The sequence below is a fragment of the Homo sapiens genome, chromosome X (assembly GCF_000001405.40).
Source record: "Homo sapiens chromosome X, GRCh38.p14 Primary Assembly".
Lineage (NCBI taxonomy): Eukaryota > Metazoa > Chordata > Mammalia > Primates > Hominidae > Homo > Homo sapiens.
This window is the reverse complement of record NC_000023.11, coordinates 53307164-53329404: the sequence shown is the minus strand read 5'-3', so window position 1 is coordinate 53329404 and position 22241 is coordinate 53307164. Positions and strand designations below refer to the sequence as shown.

The following is a 22241-nucleotide window of genomic DNA, read 5'->3' as shown; positions in this document are numbered from 1 at the left end:
CAACAAAACCATCTCTGCCCTCCTCAAGCAATCCTCCTGCCTCAGTCTCCTGAGTAGCTGGGACCACAGATGCATGCCACCACATCCAGCTAATTTTTTTTTCAGTAGATACAGGGTCTCACTACATTGCCCACGCTGGTGTTGAACTCCTGAGCCTAAGTGATCCTCCCACCTTAGCTTCTCAAAGTGCTGGGATTACAGGCGTGAACCACTATGCCTGGCCAAAATTATCTTAATTCAACTCCTCCATGTAGTGTTTCCATTCCCTAGGCAACAGACCCTCCTGATGAGGTTGTCCAGCCACTATTTGAAGACCTCCAATGACAGTGAACTCCACCACGGCCCTGGTGGAGTAGCAAACAAGGAGACAAGTCCTTTCAACTCTCTGAGCCTCTTTTTATCCGGTTATAAAATGAGGGGTTTGGATTACATGATCTCTAAGGTTCTTTCCAGCTCCAGCAGTCTTGACCTGTTCTTCCTTGAATAATAGCCAGTTAGATGGCAGTGGAGAGCAATGGAACGGATTTTTTGATTTCTCCTGCCCTGTAGGAGTTACATGCAGTAGGACTGGGGAAATGCAGGCTTGAGTTCTGTTTATGGACCATTCTTCCTTTCAGGAGTGTCTCAGGGGCTGTCAGGGTTCATTGCTTCTGGCTGGAATGTTCCAGCATTCAAAGACCTTTGTTTCTTTTTTTCCTGTCCCCCCTCCTTACCTCCCGGCCAGACTTCTTTTCTACATCTAGGACTGTGTAGTGCAAATCAGGGCCGGAAGGAGCCTTTAAAATTATCTTTTTTTTCTTTTTTAGAGACAAGGTCTCCTGTCTCCCAGGATGAAGTACAGTGGCACAATTATAGCTCACTGCAGCCTCAACCTCCCGGTCTCAAGCAATCCTCCTGCCTCAGTCTCCTAAGTAGCTGAGACCACAGATGTGTGCCACCACATCCAGCTAATTTTTTTTTTTTTTCAGTAGAGACAGGGTCTCACTACATTGCCCACGCTGGTGTCGAACTCCTGAGCTTAAGTGATCCTCCCACCTTGGCTTCCCAAAGTGCTGGGATTACAGGCGTGAGCCACTGTGCCTGGCCAAAATTATCTTATTCAACTCCTCCATGTAGTGTTTCCATTCCCTAGGCAACAGACCCTCCTGATGAGGCTGTCCAGCCACTACTTGAAGACCTCCAATGACAGTGAACTCGCCATCTTCGCCAAGCATCGCCTGTGAGAGCTTTCTTCCCTCTGGGATCATCTCTCTGTAATTTTCACCAATTGCTTCTGGCTGTGCCCTTTGGAGCTAAGCAGAATAATTCCACTACATTGCCCCCCTGACAGCCTATTGGATATTTGAAGACAGTAATCATGTCCTCATAAGCCTGCTCTCCTCTAGGCCAAATATCATCTGTTCCTTCAAATGTTCTTCATTGTTTCAAATCCCCTTAGCATCTGTAAATATAATTTAGTTTATGTAAGATTTATATCCCGCCTACTTTAAAGAGGATATTAGGCGACTCATCAGTTTATAACATGAAAGAAAGACAATTAGGGATAAAAATGTGGAAGAAAACAGACCAGATACCATGTAAAGGAAGCACGAATAGATGTTGCCAGGTACCTAAAATGAACTGGATTATAATTGGACTCTGAATTTGGCTCAAAGTTTTATGGCAGCTAGGACAAAATTGGAAACACATTGGGTTATGTGGTTTTATGTTCTGACAGGATCAAGCTTACAAATCATCTTCAGAGAGAAAATTTTCCTAAAACGAAACCCCAGACTTGCCTATTAGAATTGCTTTCTGTGCAGCTGTTTGAGACTGATAGGTATTTTGGTTACATCTCACCCCTTCCCCCACTAGGGGAAAGGGGGCTGGAAGGATAATTAATTAATTAGCCAAATGCCGTCTCAGTTTTAAGCACCGCTATCTCTTTAGGGATCCCCACAGAGAAGAGAATCTTCCTTTTCCTTTTCTTTTTTCTTCTATGTTCCTCACAGATGGTTACTTTCCTACCTTTCTGCCCTCTAAAGTCTGCAATCTTAAGACTCTGGAACACCAGACCGCAGGAAATAGCCTGAGAAAAGGGTCATATCCTAGTGGTGACTGATCATAGCAATTGTGTGCAAATCACTTCTCTCTGGTCCTCAGTGTTCTTATCTGGAGATGGAATTCACCTCTAAGTTCCTTCCTTTCAGCTCTGATATTCTGGACTGTAAAGTCTGAGAGAAAGACCAATTTTTTTTTTTTTTTTTCGAGAGAGTCTCGCTTTGTCACCCAGGCTGGAGTGCAGTGGCATGATCTCAGCTCACTGCAACCTCCGCCTCTTGGGTTCAAGCGATTCTCCTGCTTCAACCTCCCCAGTAGCTGGGATTACAGGCATGCGCTTACACGCCTTAATTTTTGTAGAGACAGGGTTTAACCATCATGGCCAGGCTGGTCTCAAACTCCTAGCCTCAAGTGATCCTCCCGCCTCAGGCTCCCAAAATGCTGGGACTATAGGTGTGAGCCACCACGCCCAGCCAGACCAATGTTTTTTTCATTTTGATTTTCCCACCTCGTGCTTGGCAGCTAACAGGTTTGGGAGAAAAGGTCTGCTCACGGAAGGGAGAGAGCTGTGAGGATCCAGTAGGAAAAACCAATTTGAACAGATGCCACCTTTGGATCTGAGGCAAATGCTTCATGGTTCTCAGTATTCTGACGGGTTCTTGTTGACTAGATCCTGGCAGTGGTGAGATGTGGTTTTTAAGGCTCTTTTCTGCTCTAGCTCCACGTTGCTTGGCAAAGCTGGTCCCAGGGACTGAGGCTTCTGGGAAATGACTCTGGGAGGCAGCAGGTGGGTAAAGAAGGTAGTACCACAGTTTCTGATGAACAACAACAATGAACCAATGCTAAACTCACCTTGTAGTGTGTGATACTTGGTGCGTGCAATATCCACGTGGGCCCCTCCCCTCCCACCATGTCACTCTCCCTACCGTGTCACTCTCCTGTTCAAAAACCTTTCATGGCTTTTCATTGCCTATAAGGGAAGATCCAGATCCTTCAGTTTGGCAATGGAGTTTTCTCTAAGCTGAATCAAGCTCTGTCTTCCCATCTCCCATCCCTTGCTACACACATACATACACACACCACACACGTCTCTTGCGCTGTCTTCAACCAAACTACATGTGGTTCCCTAAACAGACACTGTTTTCCTGACCCTGTTCCTTTCCTCACAGGCACAGGGTTCCTATTAGCAGGTCTTGCCCAGTTCTAGTACCTTCTACCTGTTGAAATCCTAGCTTAGCTCAAGGACTTTCACATCCATAAAGACCTCCCAACCCTTCCCCGCCATCCTTGTACCTCAGCTCTAGTGTTTTGTACATTCTGTCTCATTAGTCATGTTTGTGACTTATTGTTGTGGCTCTCTGAGTAGGTTGGGAGCTCCCTGAGGGCAGAGGCTATATCTGATTCACCGAAGCCTCTCTATCATCTTTTGCTGCCTTGTCTTTCTCCAGAGCACCTGTCACCATTTGTATTAGTGTCCCAGGGCTGCCATAACAAAATACCACAGACAGGGTGCTTATAACAACAGAAGTGGTTTCCCTCACAGCCCTGGAGGCTGAGAGTCCAAAATCCAGGTGTCAGCGCGGCCATGCTCCCTCTGAAGGCTCTAGGAGAGAATCCTTCCTTGCCGTTTACAGCATCTAGTGGCTGTGGCAGTCCTTGGCATTCCTCGGCTTATAGATTCATCTTTCCAATCTCTACTGCTAGATTCATGCGGCGTTCTCTTCACGTATGTGTGTTTCTGCATCTAATTTTCCTTCTTTTAAGGACACTAGTCATTGGATTAAGGCCTGTACTCATCCAGTGTGACCTCATCTTAAGTTGATTACGTCGGCAAAGACCCTTATTTCAAATAAGGTCACATTCAGTTTCTGTGTGGATATTAATTTTGGGGGGACATTATTCAACCTCATTCACCATCCAGTGCGCCCTACATATTCCATTTGCTTCTTGTCTGTCTCTGCCACTAGAATGTTAGCGCTATGAGGTTAAGGATCGTTGTCCTATTTTGTTCATTGCTATATCCTCAGTGGTGGACAGCAGTACTTTACTTATTGTAGACAAAATAGTTTGTAAATAAATCTAAATACCCATCTGCTTTAACCCCAGAGGGCATCTGAACAATAGAAGAAACAAGATAAGGACGGAAACATACGCATTGCCTAGAACATAATGTTCTGCTAGTGTTTGTTGGATGAATGGACATATTTGGTGGATATACTGTATTACTTTAACATTTATGGAGCACTTATTTTGTACAAGGTACTGAGGGAAAATATAAAGTGAGAAGTGAGAATGAATCATCTGAGTATCCTCACTATGCCTCTGTGTGACCCTGGGCAAGTCACTCAACCTCTCTGTTTCACTTCCCTCATCTGTAAGATGGGAGGTAATAATAGTACCTACCACATAGGATTGTCATGAGGGTTAAGTGAGTCCTTATATGTAAAGTGTGTAGCACAGTGCCTGGCACACAGTAAGCGCCAGAGACATGTTAACTATTACCATTGTAGGTGTTGTTATGTGATAGCTCTGTGCAAGGTGTTTTTTTTAATAAAGCTTTATTGAGATATAATTTATATACCATAAAATTCACCCTTGTAAAGGGTACAATTCAGTGGTTTTTAGTATATGGGCAGGATTGTGCAACCATCATCATAGTTTAATTTTAGAACATTTTCTTTTTCTTTTTTTTAAGACTAGTCAAGTGCAGTAGTGAGAGATGGGAAAAGAGTAGAACAAGGAGTTCGATCTGTAATTGACTGTGAACAACCAATTGAGATAACTCACTGCCTTTGGACCAGCCTCATTTTAGAACATTTTTATCCCCCTCCAAAAAAGCCCCATACCCGTTAGCAGTCTTTCCCCATTTTGCCACCCACACTCCAGACCCGGCAACCATTACTCTAATTTCTGTCTCTATAGATGTGCCTATTCTAGGATTTCATATAAAAGGAATCATACAATATGTGGTCTTTTGTGACTGGCTTCTCATTAGTATAATGTTTTCAAGGTTCATCCGTGTTTTAGCCTGTATTAGTTCTTGATTCCTTTTTAATGACTGAATACTATTCCATTGTGTGGTCATACCACATTTTGTTTATCCATTCATCAACTGATGAGCATTTGGTTGCTTCCACTTTCAGGCTGTTACAAATAATGCTGCTGTGAACATTCATGTACAAGTTTTTATGTAGATGTATGTTTTCATCTCTCTTGGATATATACCTAGGAGTGGAATCCCTGGATCATATGCTAACTCTATGTTTAACATTTTGAGGAACTGCCAAACTGCTTTCCAAAGTGACTGCACCATTTTACATTCCCATCCGCAATGAATGAGGGTTCCAATTTCTCTACATGCTCGCTAACACTTCTCATTGTCTGTTCTGTGGATTTTAGCTATCATAGTGGATGTGAAGTAGTATCTCTGTGTGTGTGTGTGTGTGTGTGTGTGTGTGTGTGTGTGTGTGTTTAAGAAACTGATATTTATTTTCCGTCAATCTGATTTCTGTTTTCTGTTCAAGAGCCTGTGGAAGAATAGCTTAAGACCACTCAGTGGTTATTCCTATCCAGTCAGCTATCTGAGAGTGACTGCTACAGACCAGCCTCCAGTGGCAGGCTGAGTGCTCCAAACTTGAGTAGAGAATTATTGAATAGGTACAAAGGGCACCTGCATGCCTTCAGACCAGTCTGTACCCTCAGGTTGAATAGCAGTAGACTCAGGAGCTGGCGCAGTCCATTCACCCTGAAGTTCCTCCTTGGTCACAGCCTTTTCTCCAGCAGCCTGCTCTTCGTTTTCAATCTTTTCAGGATCTCTGCAGAAATAGAGATCAGGCATAACTCCCATGGGTGTTCACGGGAGGTGGTACAACGCACGTGCAGAACCTCCTGGGCCAGCATCCATTACACTAGACCCCCTGAGGGAACTCCTGGGTTGTTGCATGGGATGGCAGTGTCCACACAGTGCAGGGGAGACTCTGTGTGACCCAGAGCAATGATAGGCAAGTTAATATAAGATGCCTCTGTGAGAGGTTAGTGGTCAGCCCTGGGATCAGTAACCACCAGCAGACGTGGCTCCTGGAAGGCTGCCTGGATCTGATTAGTGAAAGTTCCAGGAGTGAAGTGCCCAGCAATAAGAGTGGCCCCAGTGGAAACAGCAAACTTTAGCACAGCCCACTGGCCAGTATTCCTGGAAGATATAATACTAGCATCAGTCTGGTTTTCAATGGCAACAATGGCAGAATCTTCTTCCAGGTCCTTTTCAGATTTATGATGTAGATGCCACCACTTTTCCTTCTGTAATGTACTGTTCCATTTGGAAGTCAAGGTTGGTGCCATTCAAGTGGGGTTCTGCTGCAAGGAATTTGAGGATATCTCTTCCTTCATCTGCAGGACATTAAGGGCTCCAGACATTGTGGAAGTTTCCCTTTAGGTTATGGGAGAATGCAGGAAACGCCTGATGGGTAGCACTGAGAGCTCATTGTGGTTTTGATTTGCATTTCCCTGATGGTTAATGATGTTGAGCATCTTTTCATGTGCTTATTGACCATTTGTATATCTTCTTTGGAGAAATGTTTATTCAAATTCCTTGCCCATTAAAAAAAAATAGTTGTCTTTTTGTTGCTGTAAGAGTTCTTTATATATTCTACGTACAAGTCCCTTATCAGATACATGATTTGCAAATACTTTCTCTCATTCTGTGGGTTGTCTTTTCTGTGCAAGGTGTTTTTTGCATGCTTTTATCCAAGACCACCCTGTCAGGTAGCTGTTATTGATAGGGAAATTGAAATTAAGAGAGAAGATGGAATTTAAATCCAGTTTTGTCTGACTGTAAAACTCATGTTTTCTCCTCTAACCCAACCTGCTCACAAAGATAAATTAAGACACGTTTCTGTCTTTAAGGAGCTCCGTCTGGCAGAGGACATAAAACAAGAACACAGACGAATGTGCTGTAAAGCAAGTTCCACTTGTTCCACAAATTCCACAAGATAGGGAGTGCAGCAGGAGGTCAAGAGGGGAGAGAGAGAGAGAGAGAGAGCAGCAACTTGCACTTCTGGCTGAGGAAATCAGGGTTGGCTTCAGTAAGGTGGCATTTGAGTTAAGTCTTGAAGGATGGGTACAGTTTCAGTGGATGGGGATGATGGAGTGAATGGGGAGAGCATTTCTAAAAGAGAGCAGGAAATGAGGGTTGGTTGAATGAATGGAGCCTTGATCCCAAGACTGGCTGTGATGTGGAGTCCCAGGGCTTGTTGAGTTGAGAGATCCTGGACTGCCTTGGTTAGAGGACCCGGGGACTGGCTGAGATGGGGGATTCTGGGGTTGGCTGGGGTAGGAGATCTGGGCACTGGTTTGAATGGAGAGTGTAAGGGCTGGCTGGAGTGGGAGATGCCTGCGATGTTGTACATGAGTGTGTGTGTGCGCATCCTTTGGGAGTCCCAAGGGATGCCTGGGATGAGGGCAGCTGCAGACAGTCAAGGGACTGGCCAGGATGGGAGACTCAGGGACGACTGCCCATGATGGGGGCTGGAGGGAGGTCGCCTGAGGTAGAAGACACAGGGGCTGGCTAGGAAGGGGAATCTGACACTGCTTGGGATTGGCAGACCTAGGGCATGGGGAGTCCACGGGTTGTCGGGACCTGGGGACTGCCTGGGATGGGGGTTCCTCCCGGGATGGCTTTGGATGAAGATCCCCAACCTGGCGAACCCGAGGGACGGGCGGACTCTGGGAAGGAGGGCTTCTTTAGGCTCCGTTAAGTGAGGACCCAGGGACGGGTGGAATGGAGAGATCTCTTGCGGGCTGTCATGGGGGCTGGCCCTGGCCGGGCGCCGGTGCCTTGGGGCCAGTCCAGCTGCGGGTGCGGGTGGCAGCCGCAGGTGGGGCGCGCGGGGGCGGGCCGGGCGAGCCGGGTGGGGGCAGGGGCGGGGGGCGGGCCGGCGGCCGGGGCGGTCCCGCGCGGCCGCGCTGCGCAGTGACTCCGCAGCGGGCGGAGCGCCGTGGGCCGCGTCCTCCCGAGCAGTGGCTGTGGTGGTGGTGGTGGCGGCGGCAGCCTCAGCTCCTGCTCCCCGTGCCGCCGGCCCCAGCGCTGTCTCCCGGGCCCCCTAGGGCCCCCGGGCCCTCAAGCCCGGTGCGCGCCCTCGCGTCCCGCCGGCCCCCTCCCCCGGCTGGGCCCGGGGGAGGGTGGCGCCGTGAGAGAGCGGGGACAGGGCTCTCCTGCCCGTTCCCCTGCCCCTGGGCCGCCAGGATGGAGGCGGGGTCGGGGCCCCCGGGCGGCCCGGGATCCGAGAGCCCAAATCGGGCCGTGGAGTACCTGCTGGAGCTGAACAACATCATCGAGAGCCAGCAGCAGCTGCTGGAAACCCAGCGGCGGCGCATCGAGGAGCTGGAGGGCCAGCTGGACCAGCTCACCCAGGAGAACCGCGACCTGCGAGAGGAGAGCCAGCTGCACCGCGGGGAGCTGCACCGGGACCCCCACGGCGCGCGGGATAGCCCGGGCCGCGAGAGCCAGTACCAGAACCTGCGCGAGACCCAGTTCCACCACCGCGAGCTGCGGGAGAGCCAGTTCCACCAGGCGGCCCGGGACGTGGGCTACCCGAACCGGGAAGGCGCCTACCAGAATCGGGAGGCTGTGTATCGGGACAAGGAGCGGGACGCCTCCTACCCGCTCCAGGACACTACCGGTTACACAGCCCGCGAGCGTGACGTGGCCCAGTGCCACCTGCACCACGAGAACCCAGCCCTGGGTCGCGAGCGTGGCGGGCGGGAGGCCGGGCCGGCGCACCCGGGCCGCGAGAAGGAAGCGGGCTATTCGGCGGCGGTGGGCGTGGGGCCGCGGCCACCGCGGGAGCGGGGCCAGCTGAGCCGTGGCGCATCCAGGAGCTCCAGTCCCGGCGCCGGCGGAGGCCACAGCACCAGTACCAGCACCAGCCCGGCCACGACCCTCCAGAGAAAGTAAGGAATGTGTGTTTGTACCCCCGGCTCTTCCCTCTAGATCCCTCTCCAACTTGTCCAGCTGATAGAGTAAGAAGCCAGTGTCTGGTTCCGTGTCTTCCTCTCCTGTCCCAACCCGCCAGGAGAAGCCAGGTCCCCCTCATCCAGCCGACACCCCTTCCCTGGCCACCCCAGGCTGGGTTGGCCAGATGAGTGCAGGCGTCTCTTCTTTCCCGGTACCGCGGCCAGCGAGGGACTAGAGCAGTCATCGCCGCCTCCCCCGCCTCCACTTCTTCAACCCCTAGCTGCATCCTTGCCAGAAGATAGGTTTTCATTTATTTATTTATTTTGGGTATGCTGGTTGGAATTTTTATGGTCGGCGAGGGTGTCTACTCAGAGCCCCAGGGGAGAGAAAGCCCCCCACCCCCGCCTTTTTTTTTTTTTCCTTTTTCTTTTTGCCTGATCTTTTCTCCTCTGGCCGCCTCAGCTCCATCCCTTACCAAAGAGGCAGGTGGGGACCAGAATGGCTGCTGGAGGCTGAGACATCCCTCTGAAGGGAACTGCAGCACATTCTGGCCGGGGGGAGCAAAGATGGGGGAGCAAAGATGGAGGCCAAGCCCTTGGCTAGTTCCTCAAAGTCCACCCCCTCTCCACCCTTCAAGAAAAACAACACCCATTTAAAGAGCCCTACCGGGAAGGGAAGTCTAGATTGCCCCTCTGCTGGATCGGTTCCAGTTCCTGCACTGGGGTCTGTGTGTCTATTTGGGACACCTTGGCACTATCTCTTGGGTTGGTGGGACATGGGCTGGGTCCACTTTTTCTGTGTAGATACCATGGTGAGCTGATTGGGTTACATGTATCAGGCTGAGAGAGTCAAGGGCGTGCAGACTCCCAAGGCTGCCCTAAAGGCTCCCTTATTTCTTTTCTGCCGTATTCGAAGGAACACTGAGCTGGGAGTTGGGAGACCTGAGTTCCCCTTCCAGCTCTGCTGCAGATTGGCTTTGTGACCTTGACTGAGTCTCTTTCTCTCTTAGGCCATCAGTTCCCCCGTATCTTTTTAAATGGCAAGGTCTGCCTTGGATGATCTTGAAGTACCCCTCCAGCTCAGATTTGATGGTTCTATGTTTAATCCAGCCACACTACAGAGCAAGTCTGAAGTCCTGTAGCGAATGGACAGGCTTCCCCCTCCTCTCACTGCTCAGCTGGTCCTACCATGTGCCACAACCAGTGGAGTGTCTCTTGGAGGCTGGGCTGGGGGTGGGGAAACCTTCTGCCTCAGGAAATCTGCCGGGAGACAGCTCTCTGCAACTCCCCCGTGGTGAGGCAGCAGGCTGGGGTGCTGGGTTGAGATGGCTGGGCCCCAGGAGCAGCAGCTGTAGCTTGAGGGCTCGGCTGGGCTCCACTGCAGCACACCCTAAGCTGAATTTTAGTGTGGACTGCCCCTGAGGAGTCTGGGGGCAAAGGAAATGGGCTTTCCTGCCCAGGCAGGGCTGCTGCGAGCTCAGTCCGGGAGGACCGACTGTGTGCCTTGGGGCGCCACACTGGAAGAGGGACAGAGGTAGACCAAGGTCCATTCAGGGAGGGTCATGGTGGGCCGGGGGCAGAGGAAGACTGCATGGGGTATGGTCGAGCCTGGCTGCAGAAGACTTTTCTAGAGGGGTCAGGCCTGTGACAGAGGGAGCGGACTCATTATGTGTGGCTTCAGTGAGCAGAACCCGAAACAGTGGGAACATTTGAGATAGATTAGGAAGAACTTTCCAACCTGGCATTCTGGTGGTGCAGTGGACTGCCTCGAGAGGTGGAGGTGGGAGCTGGATGGACCTGGAGCTCTCAGCGGAGCTCGGGTGGGAGTCTGGGAGAACTGGAGGAAGCATGATTCCTGAATCAGGTAGAAAGCCCAGTGAAATGACCTGGGTCGTCCCCAGTTATGGGATTCCATGACTCTGGCTCTCCACCCTGCAGACATTGGTCTGAATCTCTTGGCTGACTGGTTGCCTGTTTGCTCCTGAGCTCCATGTTTCTGCTATCCGTGCAGGCCTACCTCTTGGTCCTTCCCTCTTTTTGTGAACCCCCCCAGGTTGCTTGTTGCGTTTCCTTGCTTTGCATTTCCTACTGGATTAATAAAGGGGTTTAGGTAGTACTTTAAGTTTCTCTCCTGACCATATATTAACTATTTGCACACCCATTATTACCTCTTTTTGACTTCACAACAAGCCTTCTGCAGTGAGTGTTGGCAACTGCATTTTAGAGATGGGGAAACTGAGGCTCCAAGATGAAGGGACCTCACTCAAGGTTACCCTACTAGTTGCTAATGGAGCTGGGACTAGAACCCAAGTCTTCCTGTCTCCAAGGCCTGGTATTTTTTTCTCTAGAGCTCTCCAACCCACAGGAGTCTCTTAGCCTCAGGACCTGGCCTGGCACTGAGCTAGGAGAGGCCAGGAGAGCCTTAGGTCTCTAGAGGATTTGAGCAGGAGGAGATGAGTCTGGGATGAGTGGGGAGTTGACAGCGGCAGGGAAGAAGGCTCTGTCTCCCTCCTTTCCACTCTCCCTCCTGGCCTGGCATCAGGAGGGCCTGTTGATGCAGTAGCCATTGCTGTCACTGCTGCTGCTGCAAGCGACTCCCCTGCTAGGTCTGTTCTGGGTTTGTAAGGAGTGGGTGAGAAGCCGCTGGAAGCGAGGGCAGGCAGGGTGGGAGTTTAGCAGCAGAGGCTGCAGCATTGGGGGAGGCTAGGTAGAGCGGGTACAGGCTGGGCTCTCTTGGTCCCCAGGCTCCCCCTGGTGGAGGAAGAGGGGAGAGTGGTGCCTGGGCCGAGCTGCAGCTTGTTGGGGGGGCCCCGCTGTGCCTAGGGACTTTCTTTAGTCCTCCCAATGATCCCGTGCTTCTGTCACCACGATCCACATTTTACAGCAGAAGAAACTGGGGGATCAGAGAAGTGAAGCCCACCAGAGCTTACATTACTCATAAGACAGACTCCCAATCCTGTGAACTTTCCCTCTACTGCATTGGACATCAGCTGTCATGTCCACCCCCATCCATGTCATCCACCCAGGATTCCCATATCCTCCTGCACCGTCCCCTCTGGACAGGTTCCAGGATGCCAGTATCCCTTCTGCTGTGCTCAGGGTGTGGCCTTTCTAGTGCAGATAGAGTGAGATGCGTCCCTGTCTCCTTTTGGTCCTGGGTCCTCTGTACGCGAAGGTTTTGTTTGCTTGCTTTTTAGTCGTTGGTCCTGACTAATGCTCAGGTCTTTTTACCTGGAATTGTCCACATACCCCCCCAAGCCTGGTTGATTAGAGAATAGCTCTGCTTTTGTTGTTGATCTTGGCTTGGCCCCCTTGCAGTCCTGCCACCTAGAGTGATATATAGGAGTGCTAGGGGCCCCTGCTGAGTTGCTCCACGCTGAAGAGCTGCGTTTCCCACGCTCTTTGCATGGGCCCAGCTCCGGCTCTGCTGTAGGCGGTGGTGGGCTGAAGCTGGTATGGTGGCAACTCTCCTTCCTTTACCCCCACCCCCATCCACCCTGCAAGCTGGCTTACACTTGGAGATAGCAACTAGAGGGGCTGGCCTGGTGGTGTTTTTTTTCTTTTTCTTTTTTTTTTTTTTTTGGTTTTGGTTTGTTTTTGGGACAGGGGTCTTGCTCTGCTGCTCAGGCTGGAGTGCAGTGTTGCGAACATAGCTTACTCAAGTGAGTTCAGGAGTTTGAGGCTGCAGTGAGCAATAATTGCAAAAAAGGAACACCAGGCTGGCCCTTCTAGTTGCTATCCGCCCAATTCTTTTAAGCAGAGACGGGGTCTCTCTGTGTTGCCCAGACTGGTCTCAAACTCCTGGGCTCAAGCGGTCCTCCCTCCTTGGCGTCCCAAAGTGCTGAGCCACCACGCCCGGCCCAACGTGGTATTCTTGACAGCTAGGGCAGTGTATGGTCTACCACATGCTGTCGTCTGCTTGCAGTGGGATGTCAGCATGCTCCCCGCAGGGGCTAAGGCCACTGAGAGACAGCACGTGAGACAGTGAGCCCAGGGAGAGGCTCAGGGAAGTCTCTCCTTTGGGGTCTTGGGTACTTTTCCCAGGGGGTGTCTCTCCTTCCCAGGAGGGAAAACCATTTATCTTCCCTCCCACTGTGTTGTGAGCATTATCTTCGTGTGGGAGGAAATGGTAATGTTGAATTTAATGAGAATGAGAGTCTTGCTTCTCTATCTAGATCTGGGGCAAGAATGGGGTTGTTATCATCTACAAACATTTCTTGGCTGTGTGCACAGCGCAGGAGGGGCCACGAGGCTGAGCAAACACTGCACTCTTAGCGCTTGCAGAACCCCTGCTCCCCTCCATCCAGGGAGACAGGGTTGCAGGCCTAGCCATGCCATAGAGGCAACACTCAGGACAAAATGAGTGGCAAGAATGGTGAGGAGTGGAAGTTCTCAGAGGAAGGAGGGATCAGGCCAGGCCAGGCTGCTGTTTGAGTACCTGGGCGGTGGGTGAGGGATGAGGGGTATGGAAGGAATGTGAGTGGTCCCTTCATGGAGGTGGCAGCTGGGAGGAAGACGTCAGACCAGACTTGCTGCCTGCCCTTTCCTCATCTGTCCCACCCCTGCCTACCAAGGTCTCTGAATTTGCTGGGCGCAGAGTAAAGGCCTGGAGCATGGGGAAGAGGCCACACGTGTACCGAGTGAGTCTCAGCCTTCTGCCAGGCCCCACGCTATGTGACTTTATGTAATAATAGCTAACATTTTTTCACTGCTCTTACTGTGTGCTAAGCACTATTTGTTCTAAGCGCTTTCCATGTATTAATTCATTCAATCTCCACATGAATCCTCTCGTGTAGATATTGTTATTAACTCCATTTTACAGATGAGGAAACTGAGGCCCAGAAAGGTTGGATAGCATACCCAGGATCACTCAATGAATAAGTGGCAGAACTGTGAAGGAGCTGGAGGAGCCCAGGGAGTTGGGCTTCAGGGTCCGCAGTGTTCTAACCCACCCTGGAGCACTACTTCTTACCTCATTTGCACAGAGCCCCTGTCAGATGGGTGTGTTCGTTTGTTTGTTTGTTTTATGAGTTTCACTCTTGTTGCCCAGACTGAAGTGCAATGGCACACTCTTGACTCACTGCAACCTCCACCTCCTGGGCTCAAGCAATTCTCATGCCTCAGCTTCCCGAGTAGCTGGGATTACAAACACGTGCCACCACCCCCGACTAATTTTTGTATTTTTAGTAGAGACGGGGTTTCACCATGTTGGTCAGGCTGGTCTCGAACTCCTGACCTCAGGTGATCCGCCCACCTCTGCCTCCCAAAGTGCTGGGATTACAGGCATGAGCCACTGCGCCCAGCCTATTATCTTCATTTTTTCAGACAAGGAAACAAGGATCAGAGAGGTACAGTGACCTGCCCGAGGTTATTCAGGCAGATGGAGCCCAGAACTGTCTGGCTTCCAAACCTATGGTACACCGCTGCCTCCCGCAGGTGGGCTTTAAAGACATCAGAGCTACTCCAGGTATGTGGCTCTAGCTTCCTCCAACAGAGCTCCCAGGACCCCTGCTCTAGGCAGGCTCCCTCTCACCATCACCCCCTGAATTTTGGCCATGGTCTCCTAGTAGATTGCCCCTCCTGCTCTCTCTCCATCAAGCCTCTGATGAGGTGCAGCCAGACCATGTTCTGCAGTCCAGCTCCAGTAGTTTCACTCTCTCTTTGGCCTGAGAACTCCTCCGCCTGCCCTGCATGGTCTTCTTAGGATCTGTCCCCAGTTTGCCTTTTTCCTCTCGTCTTTGTACAGACTATGCTCCAGCCAGGCTGACCCGTGTGCCCCCCTGGTTAGCCCACTCAGGCCTTCTGCTAGCCTCTAGGTCTTTGCTCATGTTGTTCCCTTCTCTTGGGCTGCTGTACCCAGTTCCCAGGCTGGACTCAGCTGTTACCTCTCCTATGTCTGTTTGCTGGTGTCTCTGATGTTTGGTCTATCCTTGACCCTCTCAATGAGCACATTGCCCCTTTTTATTCCTTCATGGTTGTTTACATCTCATGTCCCCTCTGTTAGACTGAGACCCCCTTCAGATTTACATTTAACTGACATATACTGAGTGCATTTTGTGTGTCAGGTTCTGTGTTAGGTGCTGTGGGCATGAGTGAAGGAGCTAAAAGCTTGGAAACACATAGCACAGCACATAGTAGCTGCTTAATAAATACTGAGTAGATAAATGAATGTCTGATTGAGTCCTGCTGAACTAATAGCCAAAGGTACCTAATTTTTTCTTCCTTCCAGGACTCCTGTAGTAAGAAATGACAACTTCAGAATTCTCTTGGGGTAGGCACAGTAGCTCCCAGCACTTTGGGAGGTCAAGGCGGGAGGATCACTTGTGCCAGGGAGGTTGAGGTTACAGTGAACTATGATTGTGCCACTGCACTCCAGCCTGGGCAACAAATTGAGATCCCATCCCTAAGGAAAAATAAATTCTTTTGGCTTTTCTGTGGCTTTTTTCTCATGCTCCCTGGAGCCATTTTGGCCTTTGCTGTCTCTTCTCACGCTCACCAGCCTTCCGATTCATAGAATGTCAAGGTAGCAGACTTGGACGAGACTTTGGAGACATTTAGACCAATCTGCTGATCATTATCTCTCCCTGCCATGTCAGGCTGTGGTCCTGACCCTCGATGCCAAGTCTTCTGTTCTGAAAGGAGCAAAGAGGCCTGCACAGGACCTGTGTGCAGTTCACTCAGCCCAGTGGGAAGTTGCTTATTTATCCATCAAACCTTTCTTGAGCTCAGACCCTGAGCTGGACATGGTATCTCAGGGTTGACATAAGACTTGGCCCCTCTGCCTCACTCACTGCAGTGTTCCCTGGCAGGATCATAAACATTGGTCATGGGGAAGAATGCTTAGTAAGTGACTTACTTCCTCTTTTGGGGAAGCTCGTTTAGGGCAACATAATTTGCCAGTTACTATAACTTCCTCATGGTATTTGGTTTCTCTCCAAGCCTGCCTGTTGGAAGCATTTACACGGGGAAGCCCATTCCCCAGTGCTTAGTAGCTGAAGCTCTCTGGGACCTTAGCATTCAGAGAAAGTGTGGTGCCATGGAAGGACTTTGTGTAACTCTAGGCAAATCACTTCACTTTCAGAGCCTCAGTTTTCTCAAGTAGTAAATAGGAATAAAACTGTATTTTCTGATGCATGAGATTCATGTTGCCAGCCCCCTACCTCCCTCAAAAAAATTGTATCAGAAAATTTCCTGGCTGCCTGGCATACCGTACATCAAGGTCCTGATCAGGCTGGAAAGCTGAGAATGGAAAATAATACATGAGACTGCCCTGCCCCCTAGAGGCGGAATGTGGCAAACACACAACAATGCAAAGACCGATGCATCGCATCCCTTTCAAAACAAAGATGACAAGCCAGAGCTACACGGCTGATCAGGATTATTCCTCCAACATTTTAGATGTAAATGTATCACTATCATCACCTAATAGGTACCATTTCACTAATGTTTCACTAGTGCATTTCGTTGGAGCGATGTGATTTTTATACCTTTTTAAAGGAGTGATAGGACTGCATATCCAGGCCCTGTGATTTCCTGCTGGATTCCAGGATACAGCATACTGCATTCACCTGAATAAAACCAATATTTTCCTTCATATAACCACTTTAGAATTATTGTCATTATATCTGTGATGAAAAGTACCTAACTTGGCTCTTCCCCCACATTTTCTTATAAATCTGAGAGGCATCTCTCACAACTGTATATCTGATATGCCAGCCAATTCATAAACAACCCATCTCATTGTGATGGTTGTGAAAATTAAATAAGATGACGTAGGTGAAGCGCTGAGCACACAGTATGTGTTTACTCAGCGATAGCCATTATTATTAATAATAACTCTGTAAAGCTCTGTGCTGTGGGAGGACAGGAGGAGAAACCATGTGGCAGCTCACCACATTTCAGAGAGAGAGGTCAGTCCAGTGAACATTGCATGCCAGGATGTGCCATGCCTTGTGCCATCACAGGCAGAGAATTCTATGATTAGTATATAGTTCCTGGCTTCAAGGTGCTCATAATTGGGTGGAGAAGGTGGTGGTGGAAATAGACGATTGCAGTGTGCTATCCAGTGTGTCATGCCAGAGGGGAGCACAGGGGGCCACAGGTGCTCAAAGGAGAGACATCACCCTGGACTGTCAGGGAAGGCTTACTGGAGGAGGTGATACCTGAGCTGAGGCTTGGAGGATGAGTTTGAGTTAGCTAGGTGAAGAAGGACAGCATGTGGGTTGGTGGGAATTGGGGGCAAAAGGGAGGTTAAGGCAGAGGGGCCAGCATGAGCAAACACACAGAGGTATGGGCCCAGCAGGATATGTGTATGGGGAGGTTTTTTGTTTGTTTGTTTTGTTTTTTTATGAGTTCAGTACAAACTAGAGCACAAACAGAGAGACTCGCAGGGGAGTCTGGAGGGTTGGCCGGCTCACATCTTGAGGACACTTCACTAGCAGCGTCAGGAGCTTTCTGCTGTTTTGTTTTTGTGTTGTTTTTGTTTTTATTTTTTTGAGACGGAGTTTTGCTCTTTCGCCCAGGCTGGAGTGAAGTGGCGTGATCTCAGCTCACTGCAGCCTCTTCCCCGCCCCAGGTTCAAGCAATTCTCCTGCCTCAGCCTCCCGAGTAGCTGGGATTACAGGCGTGTGCCACTATGCCTGGCTAATTTTTGTATTTTTAGTAGAGACAGGGTTTTGCCATATTGGCCAGGCTGGTCTCAAACTCCTGACCTCAGGTGAGCCACCTGCCCTGGCCTCCCAAAGTACTAGGATTACAGGCATGAGCCACCATGCCTGGCCAAGTAGCATTTTAAACTGGGGGAGAGGTGCTTATTGTGGTGTGGGAGAACATGTCAAGAGCCACGTTTTGGAGAGATCCCCCTAGAGGGCAGTTTGGAAGATAGATTGGAGGGTATCCAGGGAGGAGGCTGGTACAGCAGTCTAGATGAGAGATGATCAGGCCTGTGCTTGGGCAGTGGGAGTAGAGATAACCTATGTGGGGAGAAAGATGATGATGGAGGGGAGCGCAGCCTGCTCTGGAAGCTCAGAGGAGTGGCAGCGTTCATGACCAGTAGGGTTTTAATAATACCAGCATAGAAATCAAGAAATCACAAGTTGGAAGGACTCTGACAAATCATCCAACTGAAGCTATTCATTTTACAGATGAAAAGACTGAGGCCCAGAGAGAGAAAGGACTTGTATAAGGCCAGTCAGGGTGTGAGCAGAAAAGAGAACGCTGATTAGAAGAGTCACCCTAGTATGAATGCCAGCATTCAGAGCATCTTTTCTTTTCTTTTCTTTTTTTTTTTTTTGAGATGGAGTCTCTCGTTCTGTCACCCAGGCTGGAGTGCAATGGCGCGATCTCGGCTCACTGCAACCTCCGCCTCCTGGGTTCAAGGGATTCTCCTGCCTCAGCCTCCCGAGTAGCTGGGATTACAGGCATGCACCACCACACCCAGCTAATTTTGTATTTTTAGTAGAGACAGGGTTTCTCCATGTTGGTCAGGCTAGTCTCGAACTCCCGACCTCAGGTGATCCGCCCACCTCGGCCTCCCAAAATGTTGGGATTACAGGTGTGAGCCACTGCGCCCAGTGCATCTTTTCTTAAATGTGCTGTTCTCTTTCTCCCCCTAGCTCAGGCCCAGCCTTCTTTCTGCTGTTTTTTGTCTTACGTGGCTTCATTTACTGTAACTGAGGCAGCTCAGAGGCAGTTTCTGGCCTGACAGCCAGGTCTCTCATCCCTGTTTTTCTGTTTTCATGGAAGAGGGTGGACCTGTGTCTGTCTTTAGTATATCCCCATTACCTTGGGCTGGGCAGCTCTACCCCGGGTGTCTTTGTTTTGAGGCTCGATGATATGATACATAAAGAACGAGCTTTGGAGACAGACAGACCTGGATTTGAATCTATGTTCCACCCCAACCCGCAGGATGGCCTCAGCTAGGTCATTTTACCTTTTCTGAATTTTAGTTTTTCTGTAAAATGGGATAACAATGCCTATTATGCCTATTTCTCAAGTTTTTTGTTTGTTTGTTTGCTTGCTTGCTTGTTTTGAGACAGGGTCTCTTTCTATCAGCCAGGCTGGAGAACAGTGGTGCGATCACAGCTCACTGCAGCCTCGACATCCTGGGTTCAAGTGATCCTCCTACCTCAGCCTCCCAAGTTGCTTGGACCACAGACATGCACTACCATGACCGGCTAATTTTTTTTGTAGAGACAGAGTCTCCCTCTGTTGCCTGGGCTGGTCTTGAACTCTTAGGCTCAAGCAATCCTCCCACTTCGGCCCCCTAAAGTGCAGGGATTATAAGCGTGAGCCACCATGCCTGGCATATTTCTCAAGGTTAGCCAAGGTAATTTCGATGGCATTCCCTGATACTGTAGGTGCTCCGTAAATAGATAATTTCGATGGCATTCCCTGATACTGTAGGTGCTCCGTAAATAGTCATTTTTCTTCTCTTTCATGAAATCTCCCATGGACAATGACTTAACGAATCAAAGCTTTGCTTCCCCTGAAAACTGGTATATTTCTTCCTTCCTAATGTGAGGCTGTCATAGCTCATTGTATCTTCCTTTTTGCCTCAGCCACCAGTTAATTTGAAGCATAGCTCTAGCATCTTTGTTGATTTCTTTTTTGGACTTATTTTCGAGTTCAATTTCTATTCTGTGTTCTTGGAGTAAGCACCCTCAAATCCTTTGTGACTCAAGCAGGTATAAATAACTAATGGGTGTAAATAGTTGAATGAAAGTAAGGCTGAAGAGGCTGGACTGGCGATGGTGGGATTTGAAGAGGACCAGAGGTGGAGCAGGCTGGGGCAGCCAAGACAGTATCTGTGTGGATGGCTGTGAGGAACCAAGGGGTTAGTTAGGAGGGGCCAACCCGTCACCCGCCTCTCTTACCTCCTGTTCTCAAAAGAAGCATAGATATTGGAGAACAGGACCTCATGTCACCCAGAATCATCAGCCTGCCCATTTCATATTTACAGTGTGGAAGCCAGAGTTCTAAAGAAAGAGAAGGGCTTGTTTTGACAAACTAAATCAAAGCAATGCACATGCACAATTTTCAAAAGGCAAAGTAGTACATAAGGACTCATGTAGTAAAAAACTGACGTCTTCCTATCCCCTGCTTCTCAGCCCCAGATGCAACCACTTTTCCCATTTAGTTCTTCTGGCGGTAACTTCATATCTCTAAATAACGTGCTTGAATGGGTATTTCCTATTTATCAACTTTAAACATTATCTTGACTTTTTCCTACCATGACAAAATAATTTAGCTTATTTACAACAGCTGACTCTTTCTCAACACTCCTTCCCACTTTTTTTTTTTTTTTTTTTTGAGACAGGGTCTTGCTCAGTGGTCCAGGCTGGAGTACAATGGTGTGATCACAGCTCACTATGACCTCAAACTCCTGAACTCAGGCAATCTTCCTGCCTCAGTCTCCTGAGTAGTTAGGACCACAGGTGCATGCCACTACACCTGGCAAAGTTTTATTTATTTTTTTTTTTTAGAGACGGGGTCTCGCTATGTTGCCCAGTTAGGTCTCGAGCTCCTAGGCTCAAGTGATCCTCATCCTTCGGTCTTCCAGAGTGCTGGGATTGCAGGGGTGAGCCACTGCGCCCGGCCCCTCCCAGATTTTGAGAGTTTTATTATTGTGTGGGCTCCTCTATTAGTTACCTTTGTAACTTTATTAAGTACTATTTTAAACTGACTTCTTATTTCATCAGTTTTCCACAGCATCTCTTGACCACGTACTTTGTAAGACATAGTTATTAGTGCCATCCTTCCCTCCATCTCTCCTTCCCCTCTTCCACCTCCCAGTCTCTATGTTCTGTACTTGTGTATCTAGCAATGTAGATTACATTTGCATTCTATTCTGTAAAAATAATTATGTTTTCAATGCTTTATCTAGAGAGATTGATTATAAAAATTACCTGGCAGTACACTGTTTATGTGATTATGACTATGTCACTATTAGTCATCGCAGGGCCAAATAGTGTACTGTAATTATACCTCATTACTCACAGTTACACAACCTTTGTACTCCCAGGATTGTTTTAAAACTTCATACCGAAATATAATATGAATACAGAAAAGTGCTCATATCAGAAGTGATATGACCATATCACAAGTGATATAGTCACTTTTTACAAACCAAACACCTAGGTAACCAGCATTCAGAACAAGGTCTGTTTTTTATTCACCCTGAATAGTACTCAAGCAGCCCTTTCAGTTTGAAGGACTAAGTCTCTTCTTTTTTTTTTTTTTTTTTTTTTTTGAGATGGAGTCTCGCTCTGTCGCCTAGGCTGGAGTGCGGTGGCGTGATCTTGGCTCACTGCAACCTCTGCCTCCCGGGTTCAAGCGATTCTCCCATCTCAGCCTCTCTAGTAGCTGGGACTACAGGTGCCCACCACTATGCCCGGCTAATGTTTGTATTTTCAGTAGAGATGGAGTTTTGAACTCCTGACCTCAGGTGATCCACTCACCTCAGCCTCCCAAAGTGCTGGGATTATAGGCATGAGCCGCCGTGCCCGGCCTTTTTTTTTTTTTTTTTTTAGACAGGGCCTCACTCTGTTGCATAGGGTGGAGTGCAGTGGCTCAACCTCCACCTGCTGGATTCAAGTGATTCTCCTGCCTCAGCCTCCCGAATAGCTGGGATTACAGGTGTGCACTGCCACGCCTGGCTAATTTGTATTTTTAGTAGAGATGGGGTTTCACCATGTTGGCCAGGTTAGTCTCGAACCCCTGACCTCAAGTGACCTGCCCACCTTGGCCTCCCAAAGTGCTGGGATTACAGGCGTGAGCCACCATACCTGGCCCTCTCCTTATGTTATTTCTTTGATCATTCCCTTCCCTTAATTTGCTCTGTTTTCTTGTTTGGGAATGTCTCTTAGTTGGGTGTTGAACTTCCTGTAGGCTGTTGATCCTGTAGGCTGCTTACCTTTTCTCTCATACTTTCTATTTTATGGTATGTGAATAAGTTAATAGAAAGTCTGACTGAGCCAGGCGTGGTGGCTCATGCCTGTAATCCCAGCACTTTGGGAGGCTGAGGCGGGAGGATCGCTTGAGCCCAGAAGTTCGAGACCAGCCTGGGCAATATGATAACATGATGAAACCCTGTCTCTACAAAAAAAAAAAAAAAAAAAGAAAGAAAGAAAGAAAAAGAAAAAGAAAAAAAAAGAAAGTCTGACTGAGTGGTGAGCTGCCTATGTATCCAGGCTTGCTTGTCCACTCACTGGCTTCATTTTGGCGAGCTGGCAGGGAGTTGGTTGTTATAA

General features: G+C 49.1%; 1 protein-coding gene and 1 pseudogene across 13 annotated transcripts in view, besides 2 other annotated features; one reads left to right on the top strand and one right to left on the bottom strand.

Annotated features, from left to right (window-relative positions):
- Positions 5687–6378, bottom strand: RPSAP62 (ribosomal protein SA pseudogene 62; annotated as a pseudogene).
- IQSEC2 (IQ motif and Sec7 domain ArfGEF 2) overlaps positions 8055–22241 on the top strand; it is a 95538-nt gene continuing 81351 nt past the window's right edge. For all 13 annotated transcript variants that reach the window (XR_938365.3, XM_047441928.1, XM_006724582.5 and 10 more), the window contains exon 1: positions 8055–8988. Coding sequence is in view for 12 of the 13 variants with exons in the window: in XM_047441928.1 (XP_047297884.1) it covers positions 8282–8988 (707 nt within the window). In the remaining variant the exon portion in view is untranslated. The remainder of the gene's footprint in view (positions 8989–22241) is intronic.
- Positions 11660–11759: a silencer, noted in NCBI's record as "silent region_20858". NCBI's record gives its function as "represses an Ori minimal core promoter by ATAC-STARR-seq in GM12878 lymphoblastoid cells {active_cell/tissue: GM12878}" and the evidence as "EXISTENCE:reporter gene assay evidence [ECO:0000049][PMID:35858748]".
- Positions 11770–11819: a silencer, noted in NCBI's record as "silent region_20857". NCBI's record gives its function as "represses an Ori minimal core promoter by ATAC-STARR-seq in GM12878 lymphoblastoid cells {active_cell/tissue: GM12878}" and the evidence as "EXISTENCE:reporter gene assay evidence [ECO:0000049][PMID:35858748]".